The following is a 12,519-nucleotide window of genomic DNA, read 5'->3' as shown; positions in this document are numbered from 1 at the left end:
CTTCCCACTCCTGATGGTTCCCAAGTGGAAAGGGAAACAGGATATCCTGCTTCATATGGCAACTGGCACGTATGGCCTGTTATTATTGGCACCAGCTCCCCCAGGAATCTCTGGTGCATCTAATCCTCTGTTGGTGTCTGCTTCTTAGAGGACGCGAATGAGCACATGAGCACACCTGTCCAATATACCTGACATAACCTAGGCGATGCTTCCAACATCTCTGCAGCCACCGTCTAGGTCGGCTACGACGATGGTCTTAGAATCAATGTTCAGAAGCATGCTGTTTGGGTAGCACTTTGAAGTTGTTTGATTGATTGATTGATTGATTGACTGAGATAGGGTTTCACTCTGTCACCCAGGCTGGAGCGCAGTGGTGAGATCTCGCCTCACTGCAACCTCCACCTCCCAGGTTCAAGAGATTCTCCTGCCTCAGCCTCCCGAGTAGCTGGGCCACTTTGAAGTCTTGTGATTCTACTGGAAACTTCAGAAAATATATGTTCAAAGGTGTTCCCACCAGGAGAGCCCCTGGCCAAACTGTAGGCCCAAGAGCCATGGGAGTGGCCCAGGCGCCCTCTGGGGAAAGGACGTTTCACAATGGCTCACTGTCATAGAGCAGAGACCCAAAACCAGAAGCAGCCACAAAGCAGCTTCTTCCACACCTCAGCACATTCTTCCTCATCCTTGGGATTGGAGTTTTCTAGACTCCACCAGCAACGTTTTGATTCATCTTCTGGTTTCGATGTGCACCTTTGAAAGAGGAAATGGCCAGGAGACCTCAGAGCAGGGTTTTGTTTGTTTGCATGTGTTTTTAATATTTTTTTTTTTTGATACGGAATCTTGCTCTGTCACCCAGGCTGGAGTGCAATGGCATGATCTCGGCTCACTGCAACCTCCACCTCCCAGGTTCAAGCGATTCCCCTGCCTCAGCCTCTCAAGTAGCTGAGATTACAGGCACCTGCCACCATGCCCGGCTAACTTTTTGTGTTTTTAGTAGAGACAGGGTTTCACTGTATTAGCCAGGATGGTCTGGATCTCCGGATCTCGTGATCCGCCCGCCTTGGCCTCCCAAAGTGCTGGGATTACAGGTGTGAGCCACTGTGCCCGGCCTCTTTAATCTTTAGGAATGAAAATGGTGGCAGCTCTCCCTCAAAATGCTCCCTGCCGAAGGATGGGTGAAGCTGTCTGTTCTCTGGAAGGAGCATAGACCACAGGAAAAGGGAAATAAGGAAAAGCAGCTGGAGGGTTGCGAATCCAGACCTCAGTGGAGCTCGGGGGAGGCAGGGGAACCCTGCTGCGGGGTTCTGGTGATTGCTGTTGACTGTGCTTGCCAAGGCCCTGGGCTCTGAGCTACACCCTCCCCTTGCGTGGTCACATTTAACCCTCAGGGACGTGGTGTGATGTCCCCATCTTACATAGGAGCCAACAGACACTCAGGCAGCTGATGCTGCTTCCAGGAAATGGGGTGGTCAAGGCCCTTAACTGTCACCCCAAAGGATCCCACTGTGTCCACAGCCCCAGATCTCTGACCTCAAGTGCTCACCAGCCACCAAGAAGATGGGCCCCAAGCACCGAGATCAATGGAAAGCAGTCACTCCCAGGCATGGCCAGGTGCTGCTGCAGCCACAGCCTCCGTTCCAACAGGCACTCACTCTGTGGTCTTGGACAGGTGACTTCCCCTCTCTGTACCTCAATATCCTCATATGCAAAGTGGGGTTCTAGGTGCCAGACAGTGGGGTGGATCAAAACAGGGGCTTCAGAGCCAGACCACCAAGGCTCAGATCCGGGCTCTGGTGCTTCTCACTGAATGACCTTGACCAGGTTACTCAACCTCTCTGTGCCTCAGTTTTATCACCTGCAAAATAGGTATAAGAGTCCCCTATAATAGGCTTGTTATGAGGATTCGAGAGTTGCTGGAGGCAAGCACTTAATGAGCACTAGCTGGGGTTAACTACATCTAAAACAAAGGGATGAGAGACGTGACCTCCAAACTCCCTGCAGGTGTGTGAGTCTGCTACGAGACCCCCTACCCCGATTCTATTTCTACCTTCTTCTTTTATTTATTTATTTGTATTTTTATTTTTTTATTTTCCTTTATGTTCTGGGATACATGGGCAGAACGTCGAGCTTTGTTACATAGGTGTACATGTGCCATGGAGGTTTGCTGCACCCATCAACCCGTCATCTAGGTTTTAAGCCCTGCATGCATTACGTATTTGTCCTAATGCTCTCCCTCCCCTTGTCCCCCACCCCCTGATAGGCCCCAGTGTGTGGTGTTCCCCTCCCTGTGTCCATGTGTTCTCACTGTTCAACTCCCACTTATGAGTGAGAACATGCGGTGTTTGGTTTTCTGTTCCTGTGTTACTTTGCTGAGGATGATGGTTTCCTGCATGCAACTCAGAACCTGGCTTCACTAGAAACGCCACTAAAAACACATCCGGACAGCCAATCTGCAGCTTCTCCATGGCCAGCTAGCATCAGCAAGCTTAACCTTAATGAAGACACCTTAACAAATAAGGTGTCCAGACAGGGCCTTCACCAAGCCCCTTCTCCTTGACTATCCACTTAGGATATGATTTCTTCCATGCCCTCTTTTCTAAAGTGCATGAGAAAATGTTGGTGAACTTGAAGACAATAGAAAGAGACACGATCTGAATAATACACAGAGAGAATAAAGACTGAAAGCAATGGGGCAGGCACAGTGGCTCACGCCTGTAATCCCAGCATTTTGGGGGGCCATGGTGGGAGGATAGCTTGAGCCCAGGAGTTCGAGACTAGCCTGGGCAACATAGTGAGACCCTATCTCTACAAAAACTAGAAAAATTAGCCAAACATGGTGGTGTGCACCGACAGTCCCAGCTACTCAGAGGGCTGAAGTGGGAGGCTTGAGCCTGGGAGGTTGATGCTGCGGTGAGCCGTAGTTGTGCCACTGTACTCCAGCCTGAGCAACAGAGTGAGACCTTGTCTAAGGGAAAAAAAAAAAAAAACAAGGCTGAAAAACGTGAGCAGATCATCTGTGAGGTGTGGGACATCAAGCACCCTAACATATGTGTCATTGGAGGCCCTTAGGATGGGGAGGAGGGTATAGAAAAAAATGCTTAAAGAAATGTCTAAAAAATACCTAAATTTGCCCGTAATCCCAGCACTTGGGAAGCCGAGGAGGGCGGATCACGAGGTCAGGAGATCGAGACCATCCTGGCTCACATGGTGAAACCCCATCTCTACTAAAAATACAAAAAAATTAGCTGGGCGTGGTGGTGGGCGCCTGTAGTCCCAGCCACTCAGGAGGCTGAGGCAGGAGAATGGTGTGAACCCAGGAGGCGGAGCTTGCAGTGAGCCGAGATGGCGCCACTGCACTCCAGCCTGGGCGACAGAGCGAGACTTCATCTCAAAAAAAAAAAAAAAAAAGAACCCTAAATGTAATGAAAACTCAGCACCCACAGATCTAAGAAGCTCCACAAATATCAAGCAGAAGAAATGAAAAAAACCACAAGGCCATGATAATCAAATTACTCAAAACTAGTGATCAAGATGAAATCTTAAAGGCAACCAGAGGGGGAAAAAATATTAGGTAAAGAGGAACAAAGGTAAGAAGGAAAGACTTCTTATACTATATGGGAAGCAGTGGAAGAACATTTGAGAGTAAGCTGTGATAAGTTAGATATGCATACAACAAACCACTAAAATAACACAGCAGAGTTAAAGCTAATAAGCCAGCAATGGAGATAAGTGTACCATTAAAATAATATTCCATCTAAAAGAAGGCAGAAAGAAAAAGGAACAAAGAACAGTAGAGACAAATAGAAAATATCTTCCAGATTGGTAGATTGAAACTCAACCATGTCAACAATTATATTAAAATAAATGACCTAAACACTGAAAAAGCAGATATTGTGAGACTGAATAAAAATGCAGGACCCAGCTTTAGTCTGACTATCAGAAACTCACTTTAAATATGTATAGAAACAAATAGGTTAAAAGTGCCACAGGCAGGTGGGGAGGGCCAGGAGAGACACAGCGTTATGCTAACACCGCAGACAGCAGGAGTGGCCGTATTAATATCTGACAAAGTAAATTTTATAGCAAGAATATGACCAGGGAGAAAGGGCCATTTCATAAAGATTAAGGGGTCTATTCATTAAGAGGCCATATGAGCCTATGTATTATCCACCTAATAACAAAGCTTTGAAATACATGACTGAACTGCAAAGAAAACTGGCACTTTCACAACTATTGTCAGAGTGTTCAGCACCCCTCTCTCAGTAATTTACAGAATAACAAAAATAAGCAAGGATACAGAAGACCTAAACACCACTATCACACAATGCGATCTACCAGCATTCATACAACACTCCATCCAACAATAGCATAACACACATTCTTTGAAAGTGCATGCAGAATGTTTACCAAAGTAAACAATATTTGAGTCATGAAACAAGTTTTAATAAACTCAAAATAATTTAAGTCATACGATGTATTTTCTTTGACCACAACGAAATTAAAATGTTTGATAACAAAATGATCTCCAGAAAAATCTAAGATTTAGAATGCAATTAACACACTTCTAAATAACATATGGGTCAAATGAAAAATGAAAATAGGAGTTAGAAAGTATGTTAAAGAGAATGAAAATGAAAACACAGCGTATCATAATCTGAGTAATGATACTGAGGCAGAACTTCAAGGGAAATGTAGAGCATCCAACCCATCTAATAAAAAGAAAAAAGTGCCCAAATGAATGACCTGATTTCCACCTAAGAAACCAGAATAAGAAGAGTAGGGTAAAACCAACACAAGCAAAAGGAAGGAAATCGTGAAGATAAGATCAGAAATGAAAGAAATAGAAACTAGAAGACAATACCAAAATCAAAGAAACCAAAACTGGTTCTTTGATAGATCAATAATATTAATAAACCTCTAACCAGACTAACAAGGAAAAAAAAAGAGAAGACACAATTACCAAAATTAGAAATGAAAGAGGTAACATTAACATAAATTCTACAGATAGTAGAAGTATAATAAGGGAAAATTATAAACAATTTCCATAAATTTGACACTTTGAGTGAAGCTGACAAATTTCTTGAAAAACACAAACAAAGCTCACTCAAAGAAAAAATCTGAATATCCATACATTTATTAAAGACAGGCTTTTTGCAGTTAAAACCCTTCCCAGAATGAAAGCATCAGATTCAAATGGATTCACTTATCAATTCTACTAAATATTTAAGGAAGAAATTATGTCAATTCTTCACAAATTTATTCATAACAATTGAAGAGGGGGGGAATATTTTCCTACTCATTTTATGAGACTGGTATTACTTTAATGCCAAAACCATTTCTTTTCTTGTAATGTCTTGTAAATGTCCTATAAAGACCTGCCTGACCAACTTAGTGAGACCCTGTTTCTACTAAAAAATAGAAAAAGACATTACAAGAAAAGAAAATGATAGACCAATATCATTCATGAATATAGATCAAAAGTTTTTAACAAAGTTTTAGCAAATTAAGCCCAATAATATAAAAACATTGGGAAACCCCAACAATATATAAAAGGAATAAGACAATATTATGGAGCAGAGGCTATTGCAAGAATATAAGGTTGGTTTAACATAGAAAAGTCAACAGCTAATTTACCATATTAACAGACTATAAAAAGAAATACCATATGATCACCTCAATAGATGCAGCAAAAGCATTTAACAAAATCTGGCATCACTTCTTATTTTTAAAACTCTCAACAAATTTGAGGAAGAAACAAACTTCCTCAACTTGATAAGGGCATTTAAGATAACATTACCCTAAGTAGCGAAAGACGAAATAGTTTGTCTTAAGGTGAGGAAAAAGGCAAGGATGTCCACTCTCACCACTTCTATTCAACATTTTACTAAACATTCTTCTAATTTGTGCAATAAGGCAGTAAAAAGAAATAAAGGCTTCAGTATGAGGAAAGACGACATGATGTCATGATGCTTCATGTCAAAAATCTAGTGAAATCTACAACAAAGCTAGCAGAACTAATATGTGAATTTAGCAGGATTGCAAGTTACAAGACCAATATACAAAAATCAGTTGTATTTCTACATACTAGCAAAATCCAAAATTGAAATTTAAAAACAATACCATTGACAATACTATTCAAAAATATGAAAACCTAGGGACAAATCAGTCAAAAGATATACAAGCATGTACACTGGAAACTACAAAATATTTCTGGGCTAACCTAAATTAATGAAGAGATGTACCATGTTCATGAGTCAGAAGACTCTTCAACACAATCCTGATTAAAATACATGTTTTTTTTTTTAAAGAAATTTACAAGCTGATTTTAAAGTGTATATGAAAATGCAAAGGACCTTGAATAGCCAAAACAACCCTGGGAAAGAAGAAGATAGCTGGAGGACTTACACTATCTAGTTCCAAAACTAATTATAAAGCTATAGTAATCAAGACAGTGTGGCATAAGTATAAAGATAGATAAGTACATCAATGGAACAGAATAGGGTTCAGAAATAGACCCACTTGTATATTGACCAACTGATTATTGACAAGGGTGCAAAGGCAATTCAGTGGAGAAAGGTGGTCTTTTCAACAAATGGTGCTAGAAAACATCTATATCTACATTCAAAAAAAAAGAAAAAACTAAACTTAAAATCCATGCATTGTATGATATATAAAAATTAACTCCAAATGGATTATATACTTCAATGTAAACTCTGAAACCATAAAATTTCTTTTTTTTTTTTTTTTTTTGGAGTCAGCTCTCACTCTGTTGCCTAGGCTAGAGTGCAATGGTGCAATCGTGGCTCACTGCAGCCTTGAACTCCTTGACTCTAGCAATCCTCCCACCTCAGTCTCCCAAGTAGCTGGGACTACAGGTATGTGCCACCATACCTGACTATGTTTTTCTATCTTTTGGTAGAAACAGGGCCTTACTATGTTGGTCAGGCTGGTCTCGAACTCCTGGCCTCAAGCAATCCTCTCACATTAGCCTCCCAAAGTGCTGGGATTATAGGCATGAGCCATCAGGACTAGCAAAACTATAAAATTTCTAGAAAAAACACAGGAGAAATGTTTTGTTATCTTCGGTTAAGTGAAGGTTTCTTACATATGACACCAAAGCATGGCCCGTAAGAGAAAAAAGTTGACAAACCAAGAACTTCATCAAAATTAATAACTTCTTTCTTTGAGAAACATTGTTAATACCAGAAAAGACAAGCCACAGACTGGGAGAAAACATTTACAAATTACCTACCTGATAAAAGGTTTGTATCAAAAATATATAAAGAACTCTCAAAACTCAATAATAAGGCCAGGTGCAGTGACTCATGCCTGTGATCCCAGCACTTTGGGAGGCTGAGGTGGGTGGATCACTTGAGGTCAGTTCAAGACCAGCCTGCCCAACATAATGAAACCCCATCTCTACTAAAAACACAAAAAAATTAGCTGGGTGTGGTGGCGTGCACCCGTATTCCCAGCTACTCGACAGGCTGAGACGGGAGAATCACTTCAACCTGGGAGGTGGAGGTTGCAGTGAGCCGAGATCGCGCCACTGCACTCCAGCCTGGGCGACAGAGCGAGACTCTCTTTCAAAAAAAAAACCGAAAAACAAAAAACAAAAAACTCAATAATATGAAAACAATGCAATTTTTTAAGTGGGCAAAAAGAGTTAAATAAACACTTTACCAAAGAAAATATATGGAAATCAAATAAGCCTGTGAAAAGAAGCTCAATGTCATAGTTATTAGGGAAACGCAAGGTAAACCACAATGTCTAAAATTCCATGTTAAAAAAAAAACGTCTAAAATTTAAAGGACTGGCCCTACCAAGTATTGACAAGGATGTGGAGCAGCAGGAGCCCACATACCCTGAGTATAAAATAGTACAACCACTTCGAAAAACAGTTTGGAAGTTTCTCAAAAAGTGAAACATGCCCCTACCATATGACCCAGTCATCCCCCTCCTAGGCGTTTACCTAAGAGAAATGAATACATATGTATTAGTTTTCTATTGCTGCCGTAATGAATTACCACACACACTTAGCAGCTAAAACAGCACCTATTTATTATCTCATTGTGCCTGAGTCTCAAGGCCAGGCAGGCTTGGTGGGGTTCTTGGCTCAGGGTTTCACAAGCCCAAAGTCAAGGGCTGTGTTCTTCTCTGGAAGCCCTGGGGAAGAATCCACTTCAACCTTGTTCAGGTCGCTGGCAGAGTTCAGTTCCTGGGGCTCTTGGTGTGGGGTCTCCATTCCCTTGCTGGCTGTCAGTTCCTTACGTGGCCCTAATGCCCCATCACATTGCTCCCTCCATCTTCAACCCAGCAATGACACATTGAGTCCTTCTCTGACCTTCTGCCTCCTCTCTCTCCCCTTCTGCCTCCTCTCTCTCCAGCCAGAGAAGCTTCTCTACCTTTAAAGTCTTGTGTGATTAGATTGGGCCCACCCAAATAACCCAGGACAGCCCCCGTATCATAAAGTCCATAACCCTAATTATATGAATTCTTTTTGCCATATAATGTAACATATCCACAGGTCCTAGAGATAAGAGCACAAACATCCCGGAGGGAGGAGAGGTAGGACGTTCTGCCTACCACAGCACATGCTGTTCATGAAAATGCTTGTACACAGATGTTCAGAGCAGCTCTGTTTGTAACCACCAAAGCCCAGAAACAACACTAAAAGGTAAGTGGATAAAGAAATTGTGGTATATGCATATAATGTGATGCTACTCAGCAAGAAATAGAATGAACAATCGATTCATGCTATGTCTTAGTCAGTTCCTGCTGCTATAACCATGTATTTTAAACTGGGTGACCTATAAATAATAGAAATTTATTGCTCACAGTTCTCCAAGATTAAGGCACCAGCAGGTTCAGTGTCTGGGGAGGGCTTTTGCTCTCGGCTTTGCAGATGGTACCTCTTGCTTTGTCCTCACATGGCAGAAGGAACCACAAAGGGACTAACTCACTCCCTGAAGCCCGTCTATCTGGGCACAACTTCAGTCTCCCAGGTGGAGCCCTCCTGACTGATCACCTCGCAAGGCCCCACCTCTTAGTACCATCACCTTGGAGGTTAAGTTCCGACGTGTGAATTTTTGGGGGGATACATTTGGACCACAGCACACTGCAACACAGACGACCTGTGTTCAGTGAGAGAAGCCAGACACCTCCCCGCCCCACTACCACCACCAAAAAAAAAATACAAACTATGTAATTCCATTTTTATAGAATTCTAGAAAATGCAAACTAACGCACAGTGACAGAAAGCAGACCCGTGATTGCCGGGGCTGGAGGTGGGGTGCAACAAGGAAGAGCAGGTGGGGGGATGAAAGCCAGGCCTGAGTGAACTTTTGGGATAATGAGTCTGTTCCTTGTCTTGAGTGTGCCGATGATTTCAAGGGGACATGTGTATGTACAGCGTATCAAATTGCATACTTTAAATATGTATGGCTCATCATATGTCAATTACACCTCAATAAAACTGGTATCGGAAGGCTGTTCTCTAAAATGGGGTACATACTTCATCAAAAGAGAGAGAGAAGGCACAAATATAGCAAATGTTAAGTTGTTGAAGCCAGATAGTAGCTGTACAGATGATCCTTGTACTAATCTTTCAACTTCTCCAAATACTTGAAAATTTTCACGATAAAAAAAAAGCTAGAGGGAAAGAACATAGGCTTGGGGGTCAAAACTCCAAGAGAGGAAGGGTGATTCTGGCATATCCCAGCTGTGTGAACTCGGGCAAGGGACCATGTCCCGTGCCTTGTTTCTTCATCTGTGAAATGTCCTGATCATCACATGAAGCTCATTGGATTGCAAGCATTAAATTGGATTAATGCATGGAGCTGGCTTAGCAGGAATTTGGGGTGTGGTGAACACTCCACAGAGGTAGCCTTCATTATTAAGTTCACCTTCCTTATCTGAGAGGCACAGAGACTGTGAATCAGCAAGGCTGAGACCTAACTGAGGTTACACATCTAGTGCCAGGTCTCTGTCTCCCCATGAAAAACTACCATTTGGGGACACTCAGTGGCTCCCACATGTTTTAAAACTCTGAAGTAAATAGGTTATGCAAATAGTGGTCACGCCACCCTACCTAGGATGAGGCCCCCACTCTGGCCAACAAAGGAAGCCAGACCTAGCACCCAGACATATTTTTAACAGGGTGGAAATGTGCGTTTTGCATATTTTATCTTTTTCATAGTTCGAGGCAGGGGCCCCAACCAAAATCAGGTATTTAAAAATTTGTTTGTTTAGACAAGTAAAATCTCATAGGTTCCAGCCGCGCTGTCAAAACCCTTTCCCTAGTGTAGAATTGGATTCTGATAAATACATTCCTAAAAATGCATTTATGCCTTTACTTGCATTTCTATCTCCAAGGGTCAAACAGAGTTAGTCAGGAGTACACAGCACAACGCCATGCACAGCTGCCAAGATGTGTAGGCCGAGAGGCAGGCAGCTGCTCTGCAGAGACACAGCGAGTGAGGGGAAGGGTTTCTAAAATCAGGGAGAGTTCCATGAAGTCATTCCTCTCTCTACTTTGGGGCAGTAGCTACCTGATCTAAGTGATTTTTGTTAAAGGGAATGAACATAATCGCAGACAAGGGGAAGCTGAAAAAGTTAACTACGAATAAGAAAACAACTTGTGGGTAGTCAAGGTCTCACTCTGAAGGTTGCCCAGACTGGAGTGCACTGGCACAATCCCAGCTCACTGCAGCCTCCACCTCCCAGGCTCAAGAGATCCTCCCACTTCAGCCTCCCAAGTAGCTGGAACTACAGGTGCGCACCACCACACCGGGCTAGTTTTCTTTATTTTTTATAGAGACAGGGTCTTACTACGTTGCCCAGGCTGGTCTCAAACTCCTGGACTCAATCCTGCTGCCTCAGCTTCCCAAAGTGCTGAGGTTACAGAAGTGAACCACTGCACCTGGCCTTTATTGACCTTCTTACCCACATGCCTACACTCCACTGAGAACACACCCAGGAAAAATGCAAGGATTTTTTTGACCGTCATACAAGAGGAACATGTGTCATATTGAATTATTTATTGCAAAGGATTCATTTTGGCAAGATGACCACGAGAGCTAGCTGGGACGGCTGGGATGACCCTCGGACCTGTGCTGTTCTAAGGGTGGCTCAAGTGCGATCCACAAACTATTAGGTGCCGGTTCACAAGGAGTGAAGAAATTGAGAGAAAGAGTTAGAAATTTTTACAGCAATTCAACAGAGTACTTTGAGGTCTAAAGTTGGGCTTATATTTTTATATCTTTATTGTATTTTTCCAGTAATTCATTTTTACATTATTTTATAAAAGTAGCAGTGTGCAATGGATTCAAACTTTTTTTCATTTTCAGGACAGTTTGCATAGTCTTTCTTATGAATCAGTTCCAAATATATTAATTAGAGATTTTAAAAAATATTTTTTGAGACAAAGTGTCACTCTTGTTGTCCAGGCTGAAGTGCAGTGGCACAATCTTGGCTCATTGCAACCTCCACCTCCCAGTTTCAAGCAATTATCCTGCCTCAGCCTCCCCAGTAGCTGGGATTACAGGCACCTGCCACCGTGTCCAGCTCATTTTTTGTATTTTTAGTAGACACAGCGTTTCATCATGTTGGCCAGGCCGATCTTGAACTCCTGACCTTAGGTGATCCACCCACCTTGGCCTCCCAAAGTGCTGGGATTACAGGCATGAGCCAACGCACCCAGCCCATTTTAAAAAATTTTATAACCTGCAGTCAAATATATGAGGTATATATTGTAGTACAAACTTTTCCCTGTATCAATCATCTTCAGTTAGAAAGTGGCTCTCCTTAAAAACAAAATAAATACTCACCTTCCAGTTGAGTGATTACTGCATATGTTTAGTGGAGGAAGAAAAGATAAATTATCTACAAATATGAACTTGCCTTTACATAAGGCAAGATATGTTGTTGTCATGTGTATAAAACAATAGCATGAAAATCACCCTGTCTTGTCTTCTCCAGTAAAAAGTAAAACATTTCCCCTCCAGCACGAACATAGGAAGTGCTGGCATGCTTACTTGAGTTCTGAGCAATAAATGATTCAAAGATAAGAAATTCAGTATCCATCTATATCATGACAAAAATGGGGAAATGCCCACTAACATTTTAATTGCAATTTTGGTTCACATTAGATCAAGGAATTTTTAACAACTGGTCCTGCCCTGCAGGTTGGGGCAAAAGCGATTGCAGTTTTTGCCATTAAATGTAATGGTTTGAGAAGCAGCGACTGAGGTCTCAGCTCTGGGACAGCGTGGCAGAATTTTACTCTTAGGCATTCTAACAGGAGTTCTCTCACCAAGTAATGCCTAAGAATCACCTGGGAGCTTGTTAAAAATGCCAATCTCTGACCCCATCACAGGAGAGTCCAAGCTGGGGCCCAGGACTCTGACCCATGATGTGGCTGCGGCTGGCCATGCCTGTGCTTGGGAACATCTGGCTTAACACTCCACCAGGGGCTGCCCCTTGGTCTCTGGCTGAATTATCTATATACATTTTTCTGTCTTC

General features: G+C 42.4%; 2 annotated features.

The window, feature by feature from the left end:
- Nucleotides 1,497–1,546: an enhancer, noted in NCBI's record as "active region_11316". NCBI's record gives its function as "activates an Ori minimal core promoter by ATAC-STARR-seq in GM12878 lymphoblastoid cells {active_cell/tissue: GM12878}" and the evidence as "EXISTENCE:reporter gene assay evidence [ECO:0000049][PMID:35858748]".
- Nucleotides 10,335–10,434: an enhancer, noted in NCBI's record as "active region_11315". NCBI's record gives its function as "activates an Ori minimal core promoter by ATAC-STARR-seq in GM12878 lymphoblastoid cells {active_cell/tissue: GM12878}" and the evidence as "EXISTENCE:reporter gene assay evidence [ECO:0000049][PMID:35858748]".

Source organism: Homo sapiens, chromosome 16 (assembly GCF_000001405.40).
Source record: "Homo sapiens chromosome 16, GRCh38.p14 Primary Assembly".
Classification (NCBI taxonomy): Eukaryota; Metazoa; Chordata; class Mammalia; order Primates; family Hominidae; genus Homo; species Homo sapiens.
This window is presented reverse-complemented; position numbering and strand designations above follow the sequence as displayed.